Source organism: Homo sapiens, chromosome 22 (assembly GCF_000001405.40).
Source record: "Homo sapiens chromosome 22, GRCh38.p14 Primary Assembly".
In the NCBI taxonomy this organism is placed as follows: Eukaryota; Metazoa; Chordata; class Mammalia; order Primates; family Hominidae; genus Homo; species Homo sapiens.
The window spans coordinates 24,902,448-24,928,279 of NC_000022.11; the positions used below are offsets into that span (position 1 = coordinate 24,902,448).

The 25,832-nt window shown below is 45.3% G+C and overlaps 1 protein-coding gene across 4 annotated transcripts in view, besides 1 other annotated feature; it reads left to right on the top strand.

The window, feature by feature from the left end:
• SGSM1 (small G protein signaling modulator 1) overlaps window positions 1-25,131 on the top strand; it is a 121,368-nt gene extending 96,237 nt beyond the window's left edge. For all 4 annotated transcript variants that reach the window (NM_001039948.4, NM_133454.4, NM_001098497.3 and 1 more), the window contains 5 exons: window positions 2,658-2,740; window positions 10,196-10,305; window positions 15,211-15,307; window positions 17,379-17,546; window positions 21,739-25,131. In NM_001039948.4, coding sequence (NP_001035037.1) covers window positions 2,658-2,740; window positions 10,196-10,305; window positions 15,211-15,307; window positions 17,379-17,546; window positions 21,739-21,827 — 547 coding nt within the window. In that variant the 3' untranslated portion in view covers window positions 21,828-25,131. The remainder of the gene's footprint in view (window positions 1-2,657; window positions 2,741-10,195; window positions 10,306-15,210; window positions 15,308-17,378; window positions 17,547-21,738) is intronic.
• Window positions 9,456-9,615: a silencer, noted in NCBI's record as "fragment chr22:25307870-25308029 (GRCh37/hg19 assembly coordinates)". NCBI's record gives its function as "represses an EF-1alpha promoter that drives an FKBP-Casp9 reporter gene in an ReSE screen in K562 erythroleukemia cells {active_cell/tissue: K562}" and the evidence as "EXISTENCE:reporter gene assay evidence [ECO:0000049][PMID:32094911]".
• Window positions 25,132-25,832: the final 701 nt, after the last annotated feature.

Sequence of the window (25,832 nt, forward strand, 5' to 3'; positions counted from 1 at the left end):
AGTTCTTCACAGACTTCAAAAAAGTAGAGACTGGCCTGGCAACATAGTGAGACCCTATCACTACAAAATAATTTTTTTTAACTCAACATTTAGCTGGACATAGTGGCATGCACTTGTAGTCCTGCATACTTGGGAGGTGGAGGCAGGAGGATAGCTTGAGCCTAGAGGTTAGAGGGTTGTAGTGAGCTATGATTACACCATTGTACTCCAGCCTGGGTGACAGAGTAAGACCCCATCTCTTAAAAAGTAATAAAAATAATAAAAATAATTATTGATATTTCTTAAAATATGAAAGTAACCCATGCTTGTTAAAAATCTAAATCACTGACAACTCTAATCCCAGCACTTTGGGAGGCCAAGGCAGGAGGATTGCTTGAGGCCAAGAGTTTAAGACCCAGTCTGGGCAACATAACAAGACCCCATCTCTACAAAAGTTTTAATAAATTAGCCAGGCATGATTGTATACGCCTATAGTCGTAGCTACTTTGGGAGGCTGAGGCAGCAGGATGGCTTGAACCTGGGAGGTTGAGGCAACAATGAACTGTGATCACACAACTGCACTCCAGCCCGGGCAACAGAATGAGACCCTGTCTCAAAACAAAACAAAAATCTAAATCAAAGAAATTAGAAGTTCATAAGATAGAAAGAGAAACTTCTCCCTTCATCTCTGCCCGGCAGTGCCACTCACCCAGAATTAATGACTACTAACAATTTAGTAATATCTAATTGATTGTATATTGTATAACATAATATGAATGTACTTTTTTTTTTTTTTAATGGAGATGGAGTCTCGCTCTGTTGCCCAGGCTGGAGTACAGTGGTGCGATCTCGGCTCACTGCAATCTCCGCCTCCTGGGTTCAAGCAATTCTCCTACCTCAGCCTCCCGAGTAGCTGGGACTATAGGTGCACGCTGCCAGGCCCGGCTAATTTTTTGTATTGTAGTAGAGATGGGGTTTCACCATGTTGCCCAGGCTGGTCTTGAACTCCTGAGCTCAGGCAATCCACCTGCCTTGACCTCCCAAGTGCTAGGATTACAGTCATGAGCCATCGCACCCAGCCTGAATGTACATATTTTTTAAATGTTTTAAACTATGATATAGTCTCATAAGTGTTACATTAAAATGAAAAAAATGCTGGGAAGAAGTAAAAATAAACTGACTCCTCCCTGGTTAAGGCATAGGGAGAAATCATGGAAGACTTCACAGTGGTGGTGACCTTTGAGATGGATTTTGACAACGTTAAGAAAACTAAAGAAACCATAGGCTGGGCACGGCGGCTCATGGGAGGTCGAGGCGGCCAGATCACCTGAGGTCAGGAGTTCGAGACCAGCCTGGCCAACATGGCGAAACCCTGTCTCTACTAAAAATACAAAAATTAGCCAGGTGTGGTGGCACACACCTGTAATCCCAGCTACTCAGGAGGCTGAGACAGGGGAATTGCTTGAACCGGGGAAGTGGAGGTTGCAGTGAGCCAAGATTGCACCATTGCACTCCAGCATGGGCAACAAGAACAAAACTCTGTCTCAACAAAAAGAAAAAAAAAAAAAAAAGGAAAAAGAAAAAGAAAACTAAAGAAACCATTTAGCATAGAGGCTAAGATCATATATCCTTGAGTAAGGCCTCCTAGGTTCAAGTACTGCCTCTGCCACTTATTATTAAGTGTATGATTTGGGACATGTCATTTACCTGTCTATGCTTCAGTCCCCTCATCTGTGAAATGGGATAATCCATGGACATTTTTTAAATGTACATTTAAAAAATGTGTACATTCAGGCTGGGTGCAATGGCTCATGCCTGTGAAATGGGATAGTCCATGTTTCACATGACTATTTTGAAAATAGTGGGTTGAGAGGCCGGGCGCAGTGTCTCACGCCTGTAATCCCAGCACTTTGGGAGGCCGAGACGGGCGGGTCATGAGGTCAGGAGATCGAGACCATCCTGGCTAACATGGTGAAATCCCATCTCTACTAAAAATACAAAAAATTAGCTGGGCGAGGTGGCGGGCGCCTGTAGTCCCAGCTACTCGGGAGGCTGAGGCAGGAGAATGTCGTGAACCCAGGGGGCGGAGCCTGCAGTGAGCAGAGATCACGCCACTGCACTCCAGCCTGAGCAACAGTGAGACTCCGTCTCAAAAAAAAAAAAAAGAAAAAGAAAATAGTGGGTTGAGTATACAGTAAGAGCTCGATAAATATAAGCTGTTATTAGTAAGGGACAGATTGCAATTCCTGACAAAGGGAGCTGTAAGGCAAAGATACAGAAACATAAATTTGTGATTTTTTTGTGCAAAGTGAATACGTCAATGTTGCTGGAGAGGAAGACAGTGGGAAGCGATGTTTGAGGCTGTGAAGATGAGTTGAGAGGAGGCCATTACTCCTTGTACCCCCAGTAAAGGAGTTTGGATAACATCCCATCAGACAGCAGGGTGCTTGTGCAAGTTTTGAGCCTGAAGAGGCCTCCTGAGTTGGCCTTTAGGGAGGTCATCCTGGTGGCTGCACATAGGATGTTTGAAGAGAGAGATCGGGGATGGAGATGCAGGCAGGAGGCTGAGGGAGGGGTCCAGGTGAGGGATTGGGGACCGAAGCAGGAGGAACAGAAGGTGGAGTGGGTTGGAGAGGCAGGCCACGGCTGCCATCATTGGCCCCTTGTGTCTCTTCTAGCTACATCTGGCAGCACATTGAGATCGGCTATGTCCAGGGCATGTGTGATCTTCTGGCTCCACTGCTGGTCATTCTGGATGATGGTGAGTGTGTCTTTACTGCCCTAGGGCTGAGGGTGCATTTCCTTTCCACTGCATGGCAGAAGGCTTAATCTCACTTTGTGACTCTGTAGAATGTGGCTCCAGCCAGGTGCTCTGAAGGCCTGTCTGGTGAACACATCAAGATCCTAGTGAAATAAAAAAGTCCTTATATTCCATGGTGCCCCATACTCAACACCCAGACAGGCCTTTGCTAACCACTGATTATATGAATATGAATGAGAACAAACAAACAAAACAAAAAACAAACCCAGACGGCTTCACTGGTGAGTTCTATGAAACATTTAAAGAAGAATTAATGCCAGCCGGGCACAGTGGCTCACGCCTGTAATCCCAGCACTTTGGGAGGCTGAGGCGGGCGGATCACAAGGTCAGGAGATCGAGACCATCCTGGTGAACACGGTGAAACCCTGTCTCTACTAAAAATTAAAAAAAAATTAGCCAGGCGTGGTGGCAGGCACCTGTAGTCCCAGCTACTCAGGAGGCTGAGGCAGGAGAATGGCGTGAACCCGGGAGGTGGAGCTTGCAGTGAACCGAGATCACACCACTGTACTCCAGCCTGGGAGACACAGCAAGACTCTGTCTCAAAAAAAAAAAAAAAAGAAAAGAAGAAAAGAAGGATTAATGCCAATTCTTCGTGAACTCTTCAAAAACGTAGAAAAGGAAGGAATGCTTCTTAACTCATTCAATAAAGCCAGACCTCATATGAGGACTGGGTGTCTCATTGGCACCCAGATACCAATAACAGACAAAGACATAACAAGAAAACTACACACCAATATCCTTCAATAATACAAATGCAGAAATCCTCAACAAAATACCAATAAACTTAATTCACCAAGATATAAAAAAGCTTATACACCATGACCAAGTAGGGCTTATCTCCAGAATGCAAGGATGGTTTGACATGCAAAAATCAATCAATTTAATTCACTACATTACTAAAATAAAGGGAAAAACCCACACAATCATATCAATTGACACAGAAAAACACAACAAAATCCAACACCCTTTCATAATAAAAACATTCAACAAACTAGGAATAGAAGGAAACTAAACACGATAGAGGGCATTTATGGAAACCTCACAAATATCATCATACTCAATGGTGAAAAACTGAACACTTCCTCCCTGAGAGCAGGAACAGGACAAGTATGTCTATTTTTGCCGCCAAAGGTTCTAGCCAGGGCAATTAAGAAAGAAAAAGAAATAAAAGTAATTCAGATTGGAAAGAAAGTAAAACTATCTTTGTTCACAGATGATGTGATTTTGCGTATAGAAGATCTTAAGGAATAAAATAATTAAAACTGATAAGTGTATCAAGGTTGCAGGATATAAGATCAATAAACAAGAGTCTCTTGTATTTCCATACACTTGAAATGAACAATCCCAAAATGAAATTAGGAAAACAATTTTATTTGCAATAGCATCTAGAAGAATACAGTACTGGCTGGGTGCAGTGACTCATGCCTGTAATCCCAGCGTTTCGGGAGGCCAAGGCGGGTGGATCACCTGAGGTCAGGAGTTTGAGACCAGCCTGACCAACAAGGTGAAACCCAGTCTCTACTAAAAATAAAACATAAAAAAAAGTAAACAAAAATAGCCAGGCGTGGTGGCGCATGCCTCTAATTCCAGTTACTTGGGAGGCTGAGGCAGGAGAATTGCTTGAACCTGGGAGGCAGAGGTTGGAGTGAGCTGAGATTGCACCACTGCACTCCAGCCTGGGCAACAGAGTGAGACTCCATCTCAAAAAGTAAAATAAAAAATAAATAAATAGGCCGGGCATGGTGGATCACGCCTGTAATCCCATCACTTTGGGAGCCTCGGTGGGTGGATCACCTGAGGTCAGGAGTCCGAGACCAGCCTGGCCAACATGGTGAAACCCTGTCTCTACTAAAAATACAAAAATTAGCCCAGCATCGTGGCGGGTGCCTGTAATCCCAGCTACTTGGGAGGCTGGGGCAGGAGAATTGCTTGAACCTGGGAGGTGGAGGTTGCAGTGAGCTGAGATTGCGCCATTACACTCCAGCCTGGGTGACAAGAGCAAAACTCCATCTCAAATAAATAAATAAATAAATAAATAAATAAATAAATAAATAAATAAAAGAATACAATACTTATGAGTAAACTTAACAGAAATGCAAGATTTGTACATTGAAAACTACAAGGCATTGTTGAAATAAATTTTAAAAACCCAAATAAATGGAAAGATATCTCATATTCATGGATTGGAAGACTTAGTGTTGTTAAGGTAGCAATGCTCTCCAATGATCTGTAAAGTCAGTGCAATCTCTGTCAAAAATCCCAGCTGCCTTTGTTTTTTGTTGTTGTTTTTTTTGGTTTTTTGGTTTTTTTGCAAAAATTAACAAGCTGACCCTAAAGTTGATATGGAAATTCAAGGGATTTAGAATAGCCAAAACAATTTTTAAAAGGATATGTTGGCCGGGCGCAGTGTCTCACGCCTGTAATCCCAGCACTTTGGGAGGCTGAGGTGGGCAGATCACGAGGTCAGGAGATCGAGACCATGGTGAAACCCCATCTCTACTAAAAATGCAAAAAATTAGCTGGGCACAGTGGCAGGAACCTGTAGTTCCAGCTACTCAGGAGGCTGAGGCAGGAGAATGGCATGAACCCGGGAGGCGGAGCTTGCAATGAACTGAGATCGCGCCACTGCACTCCAGCCTAGGTGACAGAGCAAGACGCCATCTCAAAAAAAAAAAAAAAAAAAAAAAAGATGTTGCAGGACTCACAGTACCTGATTTCAAAACCTACTACAAAGATACTTAAAATAGTGATATTTCTGTAAGGATCAACATGTAGATCAATGGAATAGAATTGAGAGCCCATAAGTAAGCCCTTACATTGATGGTCAATTGATTTTGACAGAGATACTAAGACAATTCAACTCAGTGAGGAAAAACAGTCTTCTCAACTTATGGTGCAAGAACTACTGGACAGACATATGCAAAAGATTGAAGTTGAACCCTTACCTCACACCACATACAACAAACTAACTCAAAATGGATCATAGACCTAAATGTAAGAACTAAAACTGTAAAATTTAAAACAGGAGTAAATCTTTGTCACCTTGGGCTAGGGAATTTTTTTTAGATATGACACCAAAAACATAAAGAAAGAAAAAATAGGCAAATTAGACTTCATCAAAATTAAAAACTTTTGTACTTCAAAGAACACCATCAAGAAAGTGGAAAGAACCCAAAGACTAGAAGAAAATATTTGCAAGTCATATGCGTGATAAAGGACTTGTAACCAAAATATATAAACAACTCTTACAATTCAACGGTAAAAAGACAACCTGGCCAGGCGCGGTGGCTCACGCCTGTAATCCCAGCACTTTGGGAGGCCGAGGCGGGCAGATCACGAGGTCAGAAGATCGAGACCATCCTGGCTAACATGGTGAAACCCTGTCTCTACTAAAAATACAAAAAATTAGCTGGGCGTGGTGGCGGGCGCCTGTAGTCCCAGCTACTCGGGAGGCTGAGGCAGGAGAATGGCATGAACCCAGGAGGCAGAGCTTGCAGTGAGCCGAGATCGCGCCACTGCACTCCAGCCTGGGCGACAGAGCGAGACTCCATCTCAAAAAAAAAAAAAGAAAGAAAGACAACCTGATTAAAGTGGGTGAGGGATTTGAATAGACATTTCTCAATAGAATTGAAGATATGCAAATGGCTAATATGCAAATGGCCAATAAGCACATTAAGGGATGCTCTACATCGGGGCCCCAAGCCCTGTGCCACAGACAGGAACCTTGCCGCACGGCAGGAGGTGAGCAGTAGGCTAGTGAGCATTACAGCCTGAGCTCCACCTCCCTCCTCCTGTCATATCAGCGGTGGCATTAAATTCTCATAGGAGCGTGAACCCTATTGTGAATTGTGCATGTGAGGGGTCTAGGTTGTGCACTCCTTCTGAATATCTAATGCCTGATGATCTGAGGTGGAACAGTTTCATCCAGAAACCATCCCCCCGACTCCACTCCCTGTCCATGGAAAAATTGTCTTCCAGGAAACTGGTGTCTGGTAACAAAAAAGTTGAGGACTGCTGTTCTACATCGTTACTCATTAGGAAAATGGAAATCAAAACCACAGTGAGATACCACTTCATATACACTGGGATGGCTAGAATCAAAACAATAGAAAATCACGGGTTGATAAGAATATGGAGAAATTGGAAGCTTTGGACATTGCTGGTGGAATTGTAAAATGGTTTGGCCACTTTATTATTTATTTATTTATTATTATTATTATTATTTTCAGATGGAGTCTCATCCTGTCACCCAGGCTGGAGTGCAATGGCACCATCTCAGCTCACTGCAACCTCCACCTCCTGGGTTCAAGCAATTCTCCTGCCTCAGCCTCCCAAGTAGCTGGGATTACAGGCGCCCACCACCACATCTGGCTAATTTTTGTATTTTTAGTAGAGACGGGATTTCACCATGCTGGCCATGCTGGTCTCGAACTCCTGACCTCAGGTGATCCACCCACCTTGGCCTCCCAAAGTGCTGGGATTACAGGCGTGAGCGACCATGCCTGGCTGGTTTGGCCACTTTAAAAAACAGTCTGGCAGTTTCTCATAGTAATAAACATAGAGTTATCATACGACCCAGCAATTTCATCCGTAGATATATGCCTAAGAGAATTGAAAATATATGTGCATACAAATACCTGTACATATATGTTCATAATAGCATTATTCATAATACCCAAAAAAGTGGAAACAGTCCAAATGTCCATCAAATTATGAATGCATAAACAAAATGTGGTATATCCATACAATGGAATATTATTTGGCAAAAAAAGGATGATGTTCTGATGCAAACTACAATGTGGGTGAACCTTGAAAACATAATGCTAAGTGAAAGAAGCCAGACACAAAAGTTCACAAATGGTGTGATTCCATTTATATGAAATGTCCAGAATAGACAAATCCATGGAGACAGAAAGACTAGTCGTTGACAGGGACTTGGGGGAGAAAGAGATGTGAAGTTGCTGCTTCATTGATATAGGGATTTTGGGGTTGGGGGGGTAAAGAAATGTTCTGGAACTAATAGTGGTGATTGCACAACATTGTGAATGTACTAAAACCACTAAGTGGTACATTTAAAGGGTGAATTTTATATGAGAATCTCAATAAACCTGTTAAAAAAATGGGGGCTGGGTGCAATGGCTCACACCTATAATCCTAGCACTTTGGGAGGCAGGAGGATTGCTTGAGATCAGGAGTTTGAGACCAGCCTGAGCAACATAGTGAGACTCCATCTCTATAAAAATTTAAAAATTAGCTGGGCATGGTGGTGCACACCTGCAGTCCCAGCTACTCAGGAGGCTAAGACAAGAGGATTGCTTGAGCCCAGGAGTTGGAGGTTGCAGTGAGCTATGATCATGCCACTGCATTCCAAGCCTGGGGGACAGCAAGACTCTGTCTCTAAAATGTAATAAATAAGTCCAGGCCCAGTAGCTCACACCTGTAATCCCAGCACTTTGGAAGGCCGAGGCAGGTGGATCACTTGAGGTCAGGAGTTGGAAACCAGCCTGGCCAACATGGTGAAACCCCATTTCTACTAAAAATACAAAAGTTAGCCAGGCATTGTGGTGGGGACTTGTAATTCCAGCTACACGGGAGGCTGCGGCAGGAGAAACACTTGAACCCAGGAGACAGAGGTTGCAGTGAGCCAAGATCGTGCCACTGCACTCCAGCCTTGGTGACACAGCAAGACTCTGTCTCAAAATAAATAAATAAAATAAAATAAATAGGCAAGGCGTGGTGGCTCAGCCTGTAACCTCAGCACTTTGGGAGGTGGAGGTGGGCAGATTGTGACTAGCCTGGGCAACATGGTGAAACGTCACCTCTACAAAAAATAGAAAAATTAGCCAGGTGTGTTGGCAGACACCTGTGGTCCCAGCTACTCAGGAGGCTGAGGCAGGAGGATCACTTGAGGCTGCCAAGGTCGAGGCTGCAGTGAGCCGTGATTGTGCCACTGCACTCCAGCCTGGGTGGCAGAATGAGACCCTGTCTCAAAAATTAATTAAATAAATAAATACATAATAAATGGGGAGCATAATTCCCCACTTTTTTTTTTTTTTTTTTTGAGATGGAGTTTCACTCTTGTTGCCCAGGCTGGAGTGCAATGGTGCCATCTCAGCTCACTGCAATCTCCGCCTCCCAGGTTCAAGCAATTCTTCTCCCTCAGCCTCCCGAGTAGCTGGGATTACAGGCATGAACTACCATGCCTGGCCAACTACCTACACTTTAGACACGGACTGCACATAGTGACTTGTTTCCAAAAAGTGCAGTATGGAAGGCAGTGATGGGATGAGAAACCTGACAAACACGACCTCAGCCAGGTGACCATGGCCAACATCAGCAGTCATAAATCATGGTGACAGTATATACCCTTATGATGTGATTAAACTGGCCCATTACCTCTGTGGTTTTCCTCTCGATAACCCATAGCCCAGTCTTACCATGAGAAAGGCATCAGATAAATTCCATTACTAATAGTGCAGCATCCTGCAAAAATACCTGACCAGTACGCCTCAAAACTATCAAGGTCTCTAGGCGCGGTGGCTCACGCCTTTAATCCCAGCACTTTGAGAGGCTGAGGCAGGCAGGTCACAAGGTCAGGAGATCGAGACCATTCTGGCTAACACGGTGAAACCCCGTCTCTACTAAAAAGACAAAAAAATTAGTTGGGCTTGGTGGCGGGCGCCTGTAGTCCCAGCTACTTGGGAGGCTGAGGCAGGAGAATGGCGTGAACCTGGGAGGCGGAGCTTGCAGTGAGCCAAGATTGCGCCACTGCACTCCAGCCTGGGCGACAGAGCGAGATTCTGTCTTAAAAAAAAAGGAAAAAAAAAAAAAAACTATCAAGGTCATCAAAAACAAGAAAAGCCTGAGAAACTGCGACAGCCAAGAGGAGCTTAAGGGAACATAACCAATTGATGTAATGTGCTGTTCTGGATGAGAGCTTGGAACAGAAAAATGACATTCAGTACACGCTAAGGAAATCTGAATACAATATGGACTTTAGTTCATAATGTGTCCGTATTGGTTCAACAAATGTACCATGCTAATGTCCAGATATTAATAGAGGAAACCACGTGTGGGGTGCATGAGAAGTCTTTCCTGTCTTCTCAGTTTTTCTGTAAATCAAAACTTTTCTGAAAAATAAAGCCTTTTGGCCAGGTGCAGTGGCTCAGGCCTGTAATCCCAGTACTTTGGGAGGCCAAGGCAGGCAGATCACGAGGTCAGGAGATCAAGACCATCCTGGCTAACACGGTGAAACCCCGTCTCTACTAAAAATACAAAAAAGGTCCACCCCCAACATTGGAGGTCATATTTCAACATGAGATTTGGAGAGGACAAACATCTGAACCATATCACTTGGGCAGCGGGGCATCTGACTGTTCTGTGATGCTTTCTCAGAGGCCCTTGCCTTCAGCTGCTTCACGGAGCTCATGAAGAGGATGAACCAGAACTTCCCCCACGGAGGCGCCATGGACACGCACTTTGCAAACATGAGATCGTTGATCCAGGTATGACCCAGCATCCATTCTTGCTTTGGACTTTTTTGGGAAACAGTTAGTAAAGCTTAGTGGCTCCAGACTGAGCTATTTAGAGCCCACCTGGATTGGAATCCAGGTTTGTATTTCTGCCATACAAACTCAGCATATACTCTTATCTCTGTGGGCCTCAGTTTTCTTATCTGGGAAATAGGTTTTCTCACTTATATGAGTCCCAATAAATTATTAGAATTATCATGGAAATGAAGTAAACTAATGATTTTATAGTGCTTAGCACAGTGCATGTCAGTGCCTCTCAGAGCATAGTCCACGGGCTGGCAACATCAGCCTCACCTGGCAACTTGTTAGAAGTGCAAATTACTAACACGGTGAAACCCCATCTCTACTAAAAATACAAAAAAAATTAGCAGGGCATGGAGGCAGGTGCCTGTAGTCCCAGCTACTCTGGAGGCTGAGGCAGGAGAATGGCGTGAACCTGGGAGGCAGAGCTTGCAGTGAGCCGAGATCGAGCCACTGCACTCCAGCCTGGGCGACAGAGCAAGACTCCATCTCAAAAAAAAAAAAAAAAAAGAAAGAAAAAAAGAAGTGCAAATTACTGGGCACCTTTCCTCCACCGAATAAAAATCTCTGAGTTGGGCCCAGGAGTCTGTGCCATATGAAGCTCTCCAGGTAATTCTGGTGCAAGCTCGATTTTGAGAAGTATTGTAATAAATGCTAGCTCTTTGGCATTCATAGCGATTGGTATATCTACTCCCCAGAGGAATTAAGACACTCAACCCTTTGATTAGAAGGAATGCAAATGTGTTAACTTGAGTAAATATTATGGATGCTTTATTATCTACACACTAGCAGTGGGGCTACAGTTAGCTCTGACTTCTTCTTTAGTGGAACTTTAAAATACTACAAAGTATTTTGGACATAAGAAAGGTAAAAGAGTAATATAATGAACACCCATGTTTCCACCCCCACCTCCCCAAGAAATAACACATTAACCATAGGCCTGGGGTGGTGGTTCATGCCAGTAATCCCAGCACTTTGGGAGGCAGAGGCGGGCGGATCACTTGAGGTCAGGAGTTTGAGACCAGCCCGGCCAACATGGTGAAACCCCATCTCTAACTAAAAATACAAACATTGGCCGGGGTGCGGTGGCTCATGCCTGTAATCCCAACACTTTGGGAGGCTGAGGTGGGTGGATCACGAGGTCAGGAGATCGAGATCATCCTGGCTAACACGGTGAAACACTGTCTCTACTAAAAATACAAAAAATTGGCCGGGTGCAGTGACTCAAGCCTGTAATCCCAGCACTTTGGGAGGTTGAGGCGGGCGGATCACGAGGTCAGGAGATCGCGACCATCCTGGCTAACACGGTGAAACCCTGTCTCTACTAAAAAAATACAAAAAAATTAGCCAGGCCTGGTGGCGGGTGCCTAAAGTCCCAGCTACTCAGGAGGCTGAGGCAGGAGAATGGTGTGAACCCAGCAGGCAGAGCTTGCAGTGAGCTGAGATGGCGCCACTGCACTCCAGCCTGGGCGACAGAGCAAGACTCCATCTCAAAAAAAAAAAAAAAAAAGATACAAAAATTAGCCAGGTGTGGTGGCACACGCCTATAATCCCAGCTACAGCTACTCAGGAGGCTGAGGTAGGAGAATTGCTTGAACCCGGTAGGTGGAGATTGCAATGAGCCGAGATAGCCCCATTGCACACCAACCTGGGTGACAGAGCGAGACTCTGTCCCCCCCCCCAAAAAAAAATTAACCATAGATTTTTCATTATTCGTGTACCCCTTCTTGATGGCTTTTCCCCATCACTCCTGTCCTCCCAGTGGTAAGCACTTTGCAGATTCCTATGTTCACCATTATAATGCATTTTTAAAAATTCTTTTACAATATATGCATATATTCCTAAACAGCATACAACTCTGTTTCTTTACTCCCCACTTTACATAAATATTTTAAATGGTATGAACTCTTGTGCAGCTCGTCTTTATACTCAGTAAGGAGTTTGAGAGGCTCGTCAACCACGGGGCAGTTGATTCCTCTTTCCCGGAAGTACAGTCTTTTGTGTTAGGAGTACAACGCATTCTATCACATTTGATTTGGATCCATTTTCCTGTTGGTGGTCATTTAGGCTGTTTTTATTTGGTTTGGTTTTGCTTTTGCTTTGGGGAATTTGGGGTTTTGTTTTTGGCCTTTATAAACAGTGCTGCGGCCGGGCACGGTTTCTCACGCTTGTAATCCCAGCACTTTGGGAGGCTGAGGCGGGCGGATCACGAGGTCAGGAGATTGAGACCATCATGGCTAACACGGTGAAACCCCGTCTCTACTAAAAATACGAAGAAATTAGCTGGGCGCGGTGGCGGGCGCCTGTAGTCCTAGCTACTCCGGAGGCTGAGATAGGAGAATGGTGTGAACCCGGGAGGCGGAGCTTGCAGTGAGCCGAGATCGCGCCACTGGACTCCAGCCTGGGCGACAGAGCGAGACTCCGTCTCAAAATAAATAAATAAATAAATAAATAAACAAACAGCGCTGCACTGAAATTCTTGTGTGCATCCCTGCTGCATGCACGCAACAACTTTGCTTGGGCATCTACTCAGAGTCCAATTGCTGGAGCAGAGGGAATGCACATCCTCAGTTTTATCAGGCACAACCGAATCACTCTTAAAGTGATTGTACTAGTTTCTTAATGCTCCAGGGCAGTATGGTAAGGATTTCAACACACACCATCCTCACTTGATATTGTCACACTTATATATTTTTGCCAATCTCTTGGATATGATCGAGCATCCCATTGTGATTTATAATTTTTTTTATTTTTAATTTTTGTGGGTACATAATAGGTGTATATATATGTGGAGTACATGAGTTGTTTTGAGACAGGCATGCAATGTGAAATAAGAAAATAGAGTTTGTGGAAAATAGAGTTTCCAATCCCTCAAGCATTTATCCTTTGTGCTCCAAACAATCCAATTATACACTTTTAGTTATTTTAAAATGTACAGTGAAATTATTATTGACCATAGTTACCCTGCTGTGCGATCAAATAGTATGTCCTCTTCATTCAGTTTTTTTCATTGTGATTTTGTTTGCATTGTCTTGATTGACAGTGAAATTGAGTATCTTCTAGTTTTTGGTTCATTTGGATTGTGAAGTGCCTATTCATATGCTTTGCCCATTTTCTATGTACATGTTTTCCATAATTAGAGTCATTTGTACATACTTTTCTTTCTGTACATTATTTTTCAAACATGTTTTTTTCCCACTGAATAGCATATCCAATAGCTGGAGGTATTCGTCCACCATCTGTTTTTTTTTATAAGAGTTTTGTTAAAATATAATTTAGATACATAAAATTTACCCTTTTGAAGTGTACGATTCAGTGGCTTTTCGTTTATTCACAGAGTTATGCAACAACACCAATTTCAGAACATTTTCATTACCCCAGAAAGAAATTCTTCACTAACAACCACTCCCCATCCCCTCCATCTCCCCAGCCCCTGAAAACCAAGGAGCTACTTTCTGTTTCCGTGGATTTGCCTTTTCTAAACATTTCATGTAAATGGAATCATACAATATGTGGCCTTTTGTGACTGGCTTCTTTTACCTAGTATAATGATGTCAAGGTTTATCCTGTATGTATGATGCATTGTAGCATGTATCAAAACTTAGTTCGAGGCCAGGCACGGTGGCTCACTCCTGTAATCCCAGCACTTTGGGAGGCCAAGGCGGGTGGATCATCTGAAGCCAGGAGTTCAAGACCAGCCTGGCCAACATGGTGAAACCCCGTCCGTCTCTATTAAAAATAACAAAAATTAGCCAGGCCTGGTGGCGGGCGCCTGTAATCCCAGCTACTTGGGAGGCTGAGGCACGAGAATCGCTTGAACCTGGGAGGCAGAGGTTGCAGTGAGCTGAAATCGCACCACTGCACTTCAGCCTGGGCAATAGAGTGAGACTCAGTCTCAAAAAAAAAAAATTTGTTTTTATTACGAGATAATATTAAATTAGATTGTATGGATAGGCCACTTTTTATTTATCCATTCATGTCTTGATGGACATTTGAGTTGTTTCCCAGTTGTTGGCTATTATGAATAACACATTACACACAGTCATTCATGTACAGATTTTTATGTGGATATGTTTTTGTTTTCATTTTGTTTTTTTAGATAGGGTCTCACTCTGTCACCCAGGCTGGAGTTCAGTGGTGTAATCATAGTTCATTGCAGCCTTGAACTCCTGGGCTCAAGTGATCCTCCCACTTTAGCCTCCTGAGTAGCTGGGACTACATGCCCAGGCCACCATGCCAGGCTAATAAAAAATTCTTTTTTTTTTTTTTTTTTTTAGAGACAGGGTCTTGCTATGTTGCCCAGGCTGGTCTCAAACTCCTGGCTTCAAGTGATCCTCTTGCCTTGGCCTCGCAAAGTGCTGAGCCACCACACCTGACCAACAGATGTTTTCATTCTTCTTGGGTATATACCTAAGAGTGGAATTGCTGCATCATATGGAAATGATGTATTTAAGTTTTTGAGGAACTACCACACTGTTTTCCACAGCACACACCATTTTACATTCTCAGGAGCAGTGTATGGGGGTTCCAGTTTCTCTGCATCCTCGCCAACACTTTTTATTGTCTGTCATTTTTAATTTTAACTATCCTAGTGCGTGTGAATTGGTATCTTGTTGTGGTTTTGAATTGCATTTTCCTAAGGATTAAGGATGCTGAGCATCTTTCATATGCCGCTTGGCCATTTGTGAATCTTCTTTGGACAAATGTCTATTCAGATCTTTTCCCATTTTTTAAACTGTAACTGGCTGTTAAGGACCGTATGGTGTCTGGTGTGTGGATGTACCACCATTTATTCAGCTGTCTCCTCTGCTCCAACCTTTTCCCAGGAGGCTGATGCTGCCTTTCCTTCCTTGACAGATCCTGGACTCAGAGCTGTTTGAGCTGATGCATCAGAACGGGGACTATACTCACTTCTACTTCTGCTACCGCTGGTTCCTGCTGGATTTCAAGCGAGGTACAGACTTTAAATTGGGGACCTGTGTCCAGACTCTTTGTAGCAGAACTTTCAGGGGAAAAGATCCCGTGGAGGTGAGGTTGAGGGGTTGGCAACAGAGGCAGCAGAGGAGAGAAGCACATGTTTATGGAGTCCAGACTACCGTTTCACCTGCCTTATCTTGCACTGACACTCTGTAGTAGGTGCTGTTAAGATCTTCATCTTACCAGTGAGGAAACCGAGGCTGAGAAGGGTTAAGTTCAGAGCTAGGGAGAGTTAACTTCAGGGCTAGGGTGAGTACAGCCAGGACTTGAACCCATCTCTTTCATTCTGCTGTGCTGCTTTTCAGAGCCCAAGAACTCTAAAGCCCATGAAGCAGGGACTATTTCATGCACGTTTCCAACATGACATAAAAGTGATGTATAACACAGTACCTTGTTGCTATTGTTCAGATTTGGGGTGATGTTAATAATTATAGTATCTGACATGGGCCGGGTGCAGTGGCTCATGCCCGTAATCCTAGTACTTTAGGAGGCCAAGGCGGTCAGATCATGAGGTCAGGAGATTGAGACCTAACATGGTGAAAACCTGTCTCTACTAAAAATACAAAAAATTGGCCGGGCATGGTGGCACATGCCTATAGTTTCAGCTACTCAGGAGGCTGAGGCAGGAGAATCGCTTGATCCTGGGAGGCGGAGGTTGCAGTGAGCCGAGATAACACCATTGCACTCTAGCCTGGGTGACAGAGCAAGACTCCATCTCAAAAAAAAAAAAAAATCTGACATGTATGGAGTGTTTTAGTGCCACGCACTGTGCTGAGTCATTTGTATGTATTATCTCTTTAGTCTTTTTCTGTTATCAGCTTCAGCCCACTTACAGATGAGGAAAGAGACAGGCTCATGAAGAAGTAACTACCCCAGGCTCCCCTTGCCAGCAAGTGATGGAGGAAGGAAGGATTCACACCAAGTTTATCGGACATAGGAAGGCTTGCTTTTCTTTTTTTTTTTCTTTTTTGGAGACGGAGTCTTACTCTTGTTGCCCAAGCTGGAGAGCAATGGCGCGATCTTGGCTCACTGCAACCTCCGCCTCCCAGGTTCAAATGATTCTCCTGCCTCAGCCTCCCGAGTAGCTGGGAGCTGGGATTACAGGCACCCGCCTCCATACCTGGCTAATTATTTTGTATTTTTAGTAGAGGCAGGTTTCACCATATTTGGCCAGGCTGGTCTCAAACTCCTGACCTCAGGTGATCCACCCACCTCAGCCTCCCAAAGTGTTGGGATTACAGGTGTGAGCCACCACACCCGGCCTTTTTTTTTTTTTTTTTTTTTTTTTCGAGATGAAGTCTGGCTCTGTCACCCAGGCTGGAGTGCAGTGGTGCAATCTCGGCTTACTGCAGCCTCCACTTCCTGGGTTCAAGCAATTCTCTGCCTCAGCCTCTTGAGTAGCTGGGATTACAGGCACCTGCCACCATGCCTGACTAATTTTTTTTGTATTTTTAGTCGAGATGGGGGTTTCACCATTTTGGCCAGGCTGATCTTGAACTCCTGACCTCGTGATCCACCCGCCTCGGCCTCCCAAAGTGCTGGGATTACAGTCATGAGCCACCATGCCCAGCCAAAGGCTTGCTTTGAACCGTTGCTCTATTCTTTCTCTTCACTAGACTCAGAGGCCACAGCCGGCTCTGCCAGTGTGTGGGGGGAAAGAAGAAAGGGCTCTATGGGTGCTAATGGAGATGGAGGTGCAGGGATAGCAGGTGTTGCTTGTCAAAGGGCAGGGCAAGGACAGATCCATGTAATTCATACCTGCACGTGCCTGGTTCTGCCACTTACAGAATGTCAGAGCTGGAAGGAACTTAGAACTCACCTGGCTTACACAGCCCATCCTACAGATGGGGAAAACTGAGGTTTCTGGTGGTCAAATGACAGAGCCCAGGTCTCCTGCCTTCTGACCTGAGTTCTATCCACTGCACCAGGGCACAGGCATAAGGCAAAACTTGCCCGGGATTTTCCCACCTTGGGGGGCTTCCCAAGGCAGGGCAACACTGTGAGCCCCGTCACCAATTCTCTCCCCATGTGTGTTGGTGTCTTGGCAGAACTCGTCTATGATGACGTCTTCTTGGTCTGGGAGACCATCTGGGCAGCCAAACACGTCTCCTCTGCGCACTACGTCCTGTTCATTGCGCTGGCTCTGGTGGAAGTCTACCGTGACATCATTTTGGAGAACAACATGGATTTCACAGACATCATCAAATTCTTTAATGGTACCCACATGACTGGGGCCTCATGAGAGGGGTGCAGGCTTCTGGAGGCCCCTTTTGGGCATCTCAGGAGGAATGAAGATGGGCTGAGATGGATGCATGGTGAAGGGGATAAAGAGGGCTCTGCACACTTCTTATGGCTATTTCCAAAAGGACGAGTTCACATCTTGTAATGCTGAGGGTGCATTTTTCTCAGGGATCTGGCAGGGGGACCACAGATGTTGAAATCAGCTCAGGGGCAAAGTCTGGTTCTATCGCTGACCAGCTGTGCCCATGGTCAAGTCACTTCCCCTCTCTCTAAACATCCACTTCCTCATCTGTGAAATGGGCTAGCAGTGTCTGCTTTGGAGGGTTGACATGCATAGGAAAAGCAGGCCCAGGGCAGCAATTTGAGTAACACGAAAAAGACACAGCCTTTGAAATCAGACAGATGCGAATTCTGATCCAGGCTCCTGGGAGCTGTGTGACTTTGTCCAAGTGACTTCACGTCTCTAGGCCTCGGATTCTTCAGGGATAAAATGGTACTAACACTCCCTCCCTCACAGGGAGGTCCAGAGGATTACAGGAGACAACATGGTTAAATCCCAGCACGTGGTACCTGGCTCATAGGAGGGACCCAATAAACAAAAGCTATTGCCACTGTTATCACTATTTAAAAATGTTTTTAATGAAAGAAAGTTCTGGAAAAAAACAAAAGAAAAAAGCCAACTGTGACCTCACTTTTGAAACATTATTAGGGTTCTTAATTTAAGTAAACTTTTTGGGGGAATAATTTTGCATTTTAATTGTCTACTAAAATTGTAGATTGAGAACTGTTTTAGATTTAGATGTACAGAGAATGCACGATACCTTGGCCTCGCTTTGCCTACTGTTAGCATTTACATAACCCTGGTACATTTGCCAAAACTAAGAAATTATCATTGGCACGTTACCATCTATTAAACTACAGGCTTTATTTGGATTTCACCTGGTTTTTCACTAGTATCCTTTTTCTGTTCTAGGGTCTAATCCAGGAAACCACAGTCATGTTTATTTTTATGTTTTTACATAATCAGAATCCACTTGTATATGCCTTTTTTCACTTAATATTTCAACTATTGTCTTTCATATAATCTTTTTTTTTTTTTGAGACGGAGTCTCACTCTGTTACCCGCGCTGGAGTGAAGTGGCACGATCTCAGCTCACTGCAACCTCCGCCTCCCAGGTTCAAGTGATTCTCCCGCCTCAGCCTCCTGAGTAGCTGGGATTACAGACACGCACCACCACGCCCGGCTAATTTTTATATTTTTAGTAGAGACAGAGTTTTGCCATGTTGGCCAGGCTAGTCTAGAACTCCTGACCTCAGGCGATCCGTCTGCCTTGGCCTCCCAAAGTGCTGGGATTATAGGTGTGAGCCACTGTGCCCAGCCAGTCATTTTTTAAAACTACAAAATATATCTCAAGTGACTATTCTATAACTTACTGAACCATTTCTTATCATTAGCATGTAGGTTATTTTCAGTTTGAAGGTGTGATCGAGAGTCCAAAGCAATTCATCTGTTAGCATAAAGATTCCCAAATTTTCTCAATTCATGCACCCCTAGTGTCTCTGTAAAATTATAACAGCACCCCAGGCCAAAAGTTTCATTTAGTAAGTAGTTAAGTCCAAACCGCTTAATAAGTATTTATATCCTAACAATTTAGAAGCCATTGAAAAAATAATACATATGTATCTTTTTTTTTTTTTGAGATGGAATTTCACTCTTGTTGCCCAGGCTGGAGTACAATGGCATGATCTCAGCTCACTACAACCTCCGCCTCCTGGGTTCAAGTGATTCTCCTGCCTCAGCCTCCTGAGTAGCTGGGATTACAGGCATGCACAACCACAAAATACTAATTTTGTATTTTTTTAGTAGAGACAGGGTTTCTCCATGTTGGTCAGGCTGGTCTCAGACTCCCAACCTCAGGTGATCTGCCCACCTCAGCTTCCCAAAGTACTGGGATTACAGGTGTGAACCACCGTGCCTAGCCAATAATACATATATATCTAAAGAAAATAACATTTTTACATCATTCCCGAATAAGCACAATTGCTAATGGGGTGTATGCACCCATTGGGCTTTGCATACCTTCTCAAGCCTTGGAATCAGATTGGACACCACCTCTTTTGTTTTCTATTCCATATTGATTTTCACATGGCACTTACTTTCTTTTTTTTTTTTTTTTTTTTTGTGATGGCGTCTCGCTCTGTCACCCAGGTTGGAGTGCAGTAGCCAATCCAGCTCACTGCAAGCTCCACCTGTGGGATTCACGCCATTCTCCTGCCTCAGCTTCCTGAATAGCTGCAACTGCAGGCGCCCGCCACCACACCTGGCTAATTTTTTGTATTTTTAGTAGAGATGGGGTTTCACCGTGTTAGCCAGGATGGTCTCGATCTCTTGACCTCGTGATCCGCCCACCTCGGCCTCCCAAAGATCTGGGATTACAGGCATGAGCCACTGTGCCCGGCCTTTTTTTTTTTTTTGAGACGGAGTCTTGCTCTGTCACCCAGGCTGGAGTGCAGTGGCGCGATCTCGACTCACTGCAAGCTCTGCCTCCCAGGTTCATGCCATTCTCCTGCCTTAGCCTCCCAAGTAGCTGGGACTACAGGCATCCACCACCACACCCAGCTAATTTTTTTGTATTTTTAGTAGAGATGGGGTTTCACCATGTTAGCCAGGATGGTCTCGATCTCCTGACCTCATGATCCACCCGCCTCGGCCTCCCAAAGTTCTGGGATTACAGGCGTGAGCCACCGGGCCTGGCCCATGGCACTTACTTTCTGTTGCAGCAGCTGCTGAAAACCTAGCTTTGCAAAGACAAAGTCATTGATGGGACCCTGGGTACAGTGGCTTACGCCTATAATCTCAGCACTTGGGCAGGCCAAGGTGGGTGGATTGCTTGAGGTCAGGAGTTCCAGACCATTCTGGCCAACATGGCAAAACTTTGTCTCTACTAAAAATACAAAAATTAGCCCAGCGTGATGGTGCATACCTGTAATCCCAGCTACTCAGGAGGTTGGGATTAGAGGAGGCATGAGAATCACTTGAGCTTGGGAGGTGGAGGTTATAGTGAGTCGAGATCACACCACACCACACTCCACCCTGGGCAACAGAGTGAGACCTTGTCTCAAAAGAAAAAAAAAGAAGAAAGTTATTGATGGGAGTGTAGTGAAATTTGTGAACTCACTCCAGCTAACAGTTGACATGGTGCTCAACTTAGATGGAGTATTCCCACGCTTCCCTCGAAATACCCAAATACTCCACAGTGCCCCTGCAAATCACTATGACACGCTGGGGTACCTTGGTACCCAGTTTGGGAACCATGTCTTAGTTTTAGTGTTTTTCTTTTTTTTCTTTCTACTAAATGGTTTATTTATGATAAATGTCTACGTTTAGGATTATTTGGCTTAGAAGTCTGACCACATTGTGTGGCTCTTGATAAAATTATTTTTTTCTTTGGTTTTTTTGTCCCTTTCTCCTCTTCCTTCTCCATCTTTCCTCCCTCTGTTGCTTCCTCCTTTTCATATCTTTCAGCGTCTACTGTGTGCCCAGCACTGCTCTCAGTCATTCTGTTTATAGGAGAGGGGTGGAAGGACTTCACCTTTTCATTTTTATTTTTATTTTTTTTTGAGACGGAGTTTCGCTCTTGTTGCCCAGGCTGGAGTGCAGTGGTGCAATCTCGGCTCACCACAAGCTCCGCCTCCTGGGTTCAAGCGATTCTTCTGCCTCAGCCTCCTGAGTAGCTGGGATTACAGGCATGCGCCACCACACCCGACTAGTTTTGTATTTTTAGTAGAGACAGGGTTTCTCCATGTTAGTCAGGCTGGTCTCAAACTCCCGACCTCAGGTGATCCACCTGCCTCGGCCTCCCAAGGTGCTGGGATTACAGCCATGAGCCACCATGCCCGGCCGACCTCACCTTTTTATGGCACATCCTGTGAACCAGCATTATCCCATTCAATCCGCACAGTAACTTGGTGAGGTGGCTGCTGTTCCAATCCCCATTTTACAGATGAGGAAACTAAGGTCCAGAGGTAGAGGCCTTCTCCAGGGCCTCTGCTTCCTGAGTCAATCTGTGATGGAGATGCCCCCAGAGAAGCCTCCAGGGGCTGGAATTGTACCCTAAGACTGGACACAGAAGGAGGCTCATGAGATTTTTCTTTCTGCTCTTTCAGAAATGGCTGAGCGACACAACACCAAGCAAGTCCTGAAGCTGGCGCGGGACCTCGTGTACAAGGTGCAGACTCTGATTGAGAACAAGTGAGGGGCACCTCACCCCGGCAGCCTCAGCCAAGCTGCCCCTGCCCCGCTCCTCTGCTTACTTTTCCTCCTGGCTGGATGGGCACCCCGGGAGCGGGGTCCTGGTGTCTGTTCACAAGCGTGGAGTTCAGTGCGCAAAGAAACTACCCTGACTTTTACTTCTGGGCAGATGGGGTGGAGGGAGTACCCCTTCAATTCAGCCTTACATTTTCCTGTTTGACCAAAGATTGCCCAAGTCTGGCGTTCCTCCCTTGCAGGAGGTGGAGGTTGTTGGTGGAGGAGGAGCCATCTTTGTTTGCTGGTGCCCGGAATGGTCTCCTCTTCTTCTTTCCCTATCCCTCCAAACTGTCTTGTAAGATGAGACCTGGGGAGGAAACTTCTTTTTGGAAATTGGTGTAGAAGAGGTGTGTGGGGCTACCTCTATGCTCCTCTGCAAGGGGCCTTTGGCGATGTTCTGGACATGGCTGAAGATTGACTTAGAGATTGACCCTCCACCTCGACATTACTGACATTTGGGGCCAGGTGATTCTTTTTGAGGGGACTGTCCCCTGCATTGTAGGATGCTGAGCAGCATCCCGGGCCTCACCAGATGCCAGTAGTGCCATCCCCCAACCATACCCCTGGTTGTGACAGCCCCCAAAAATGTCTCTAGACATTGCGAAATGTTCCCTGCAGGGCAAAATTGCCCCCATTTGAGAACCACTGGCTTGGAGAAGGGACTACAAATGTACTTCCTCCCCCATTCTTTTGACGCTAAGCCACCCTGGTCCTGACGCCTCCCCTCACTTAGAAAAGGCATACAGGAGGCCGGGCATGGTGGCTCACACCTGTAATCCCAGCACTTTGGGAGGCTAAGGTGGGCGGATCACAAGGTCAGGAGTTTTGAGACCAGCCTGGCCAACATGGTGAAACCCCATCTCTACTAAAAATACAAAAATTAGCTGGGTGTGGTGGCGGGTGCCTGTAATCCCAGCTACTTGGGAGGCTGAGGCAGGAGAATCACTTGAACCTGGGAGGTGGAGGTTGCAGTGAGTTGAGATCACGCCACTGCACTCCAGCCCGGGCGACAGTTCAAGACTCCATCTCAAAAAAAAAAAGAAAAGGCACACAAGAGTCCCTCACACATCTCTCTTGGAGTCTGGGATTCCATCTGTTGTATTTTCTCCTTTTTTCTCCTCTGTCTGATGCCAGAAGATACTTGTTTTCTTCTTTTCAAGAAAAGTATCTCCCCACATAGGCGGTGGACCCAAAAAGTGTAGGCATGAGACGGTCAGAGCTCTTTGGGGTCCTGCTCAGAGTCCCCCAGGCAGGGCAGAGTCTGTATCCTGCTGCCATCTTGCAAGGGAAAACCGCCTCTCCTTCCAAGTATTGGGTCTTGGAAAGGTGTGTGTTTGGTGAAAGCCACTTAATGGTGGTGGGGTGCAGCTTTTCTCTAAGTGCAGTTACTCACTCAGGACAAAGGAGGAAAAGGAAGGCAGAGGTCAGCCAGGGTAGAGGGTGATGTCTGTTTTCCTTGGGAAACATCTGCTGATGAACTGGGTCCAGGGCCGTGCTAGGTCTGGGAACAATCCTCTCCAGGTCTTCACACAGAGTATCACCAATCCACAAACAGACCCGAAGTGAACTAGTTTACTCTGCCTACCTGTCCTTTCAATAGAGCAGTCTTTCCCGCTCTTCTGTTCTGAGAATGCACCCGGAATGGGGGAAACCCAGCAAGCAGCAGAGAGAAAGGCTCTTCCCGGGAGACCTGCCGCCTCTAGGGTGGTCAGAGAATAGCAGCTGGGATTTTGGAGAGGGAGAGGATAGGTAAAGCAGCGTATTGAAGCATTTGCGGAGGGGTGTATTAGTCCTCCCACCCTGAGCACACCAGGACGGGGATGCATCCTTGCCTTGTGTGCTTGTAAAGGCTTCTTTCCCTTGGTATAGCAACTTCAACTGCACCTGAACCTCCAACCTCTGCCCAGCCTCTGGTGCAGGGTGGATAGAGGTCTAGCCAGCCCTTACTTCCTGAAGAGAGCTCTGTGGGAAACTCGAGGCTACAGTAGCTTCCCGGCTCCCAGCTCCTACCCTACCCCCACCAAAGCAGAAACGGGAGACGGCAACGTTCTGGCTGCCATTAGACTTACGTCTCCCTCCCCTACGTCCCCTAGCTTCCCAAGACAGGAAGAAATGTGCAAAAGGCCCCTCCGGAGAAAACTATTTTGCCGTTCAGCTGTTCTTTACAGAGGATGTTATTTTAGTGAGACCCAGGTCCTAGACCTTCTGATTCCTATTTATTTTTTTAACAGACTAGTCTCAAAGTACAGCACAAAATCTCTTCTCTGCCTTCTCTTGTGATGTTCCAGAGAGCATCTGTGGTTGTGATTTGGAATAAGTCATATTTATTTGGTTTACTGTGCCTATTCAGATCTCTGTATGTTGTGTGTGTTTCTGTGTCCTGGAATTGGATGCGTGGGACTCGTTCTGTCCGCGGAGTGCACTCTTTTTTTCAGTGTGGCCCACATATCTTGTAAATGTTTGCTGAAGAGTTGTGTCTATATATAGAGAAAATATATATAAACAGAGAAATATGTGAATCTGTTTTTTTTTGTCTTTTTTTTTTTAATTTGAAAGAAAAAAATGCTTGCTTCTGAGGACTGTGTCCTCCCACTCACACCCCAGTGACCCTATATGGGGTCAGATTTTTGTAATAGCTGCCTGGCCTTTTCCCAGAAAAGGTGAATCACTTCTGACTTCTTGTATTAGCTGGCTCTTACCACAAGTAATGCTGCATTACAAATGACCCAAAAAGTAGTGGTTTAAAACAGCCATGTATTTACCTCATAATTCTGTGGGTCAGCATCCCAGGCTAGGTTCAGCTAGGAGGTTCTTCTGTTCTCAGACTTCTTCATGTGTCTGTGGTCAGCTGATGTCCAGATAGGCAACTCTGCTTCTGATGGTTGTCTGGCTGTTGACTAGGGCAGTGGGGGAAACTGGATTCCGTATCTTGCATCCTCCAGCAGGCTAGCTTAGGCTTGTTTACATGGCTATGATAGCAGATCCCAGAAGGTAAGCAGAAACACACACTGTCTCTTGGTCTCAGCTTCTCTGGCATAAAGTCATTTCTGCCACATTCTGTTGGTCAGAGTAAGTCACATGACTCAGCCCAGCTTCATAGGGTAGGGAAATAGACTGTACTTCCTGATGAGAATCTTTGGAAAGTGACACTGAAAAGGAGCATGGGCCAGGCACAGTGGCTTACCCCTGTAATCCCAGCACTTTGGGAGGCCAAAGCAGGAGGATCACTTGAGGCCAAGAGTTCAAGATCAGCCTGGGCAACATAATGAGACTCCGTCTCTCCAACAAAAACAAACAAACAAACAAAAAAAAAATTAAAATTAGCTGGATGTGGTAGCGTGTGTCTGTGGTCCCAGCTACTCAGGAGGCTGAAGTGGGAGGATTGCTTGAGCCCAGGAGATAGAGGCTGCAGTGAGACATGGTCATGCCACTGTGCCTCAGCCTGGGTGACAATGCAAAATCCTGTCTCAAAAAAAGAAAAGGAGCATGGACCCAGGCTGGGAGATAATTGAGGCCATTTTTGCAAAGAGTCTACCACATTCCCAAAGGTCCAGTGCACAAGAGGGGTTCCCAGTCAGCCATTTGACATGAGAGCATAGCTCTAAATTAACACTTCTCTGAATCCCACCTGCTGAGCTAGCTCATTTCTCACCTCTGATGCTCCCAAAGACAACGAGTTCATTTCCCCCAACATCGCTGGTTCTCACTCATGGCTGCCATTCAGAACTATAGTCATCAGGCAGTGAGCACCTTGCGCAGATCTCCATCTCCATCAGTCTCTAAACATGGACTCAGGAAAACTAGTTTTCAGCTACGGAAGTGCAGCCTGATTTAATATAATGAGCACCATCAAAACTTCAGATTTTAAATAGAAAAAGATTTCCAACTGAGCCAGCAAAGTAGAGGAGAAGTTTGCAGGTGGCATTGGCTGCCTGGGTGTGCCACATCACCA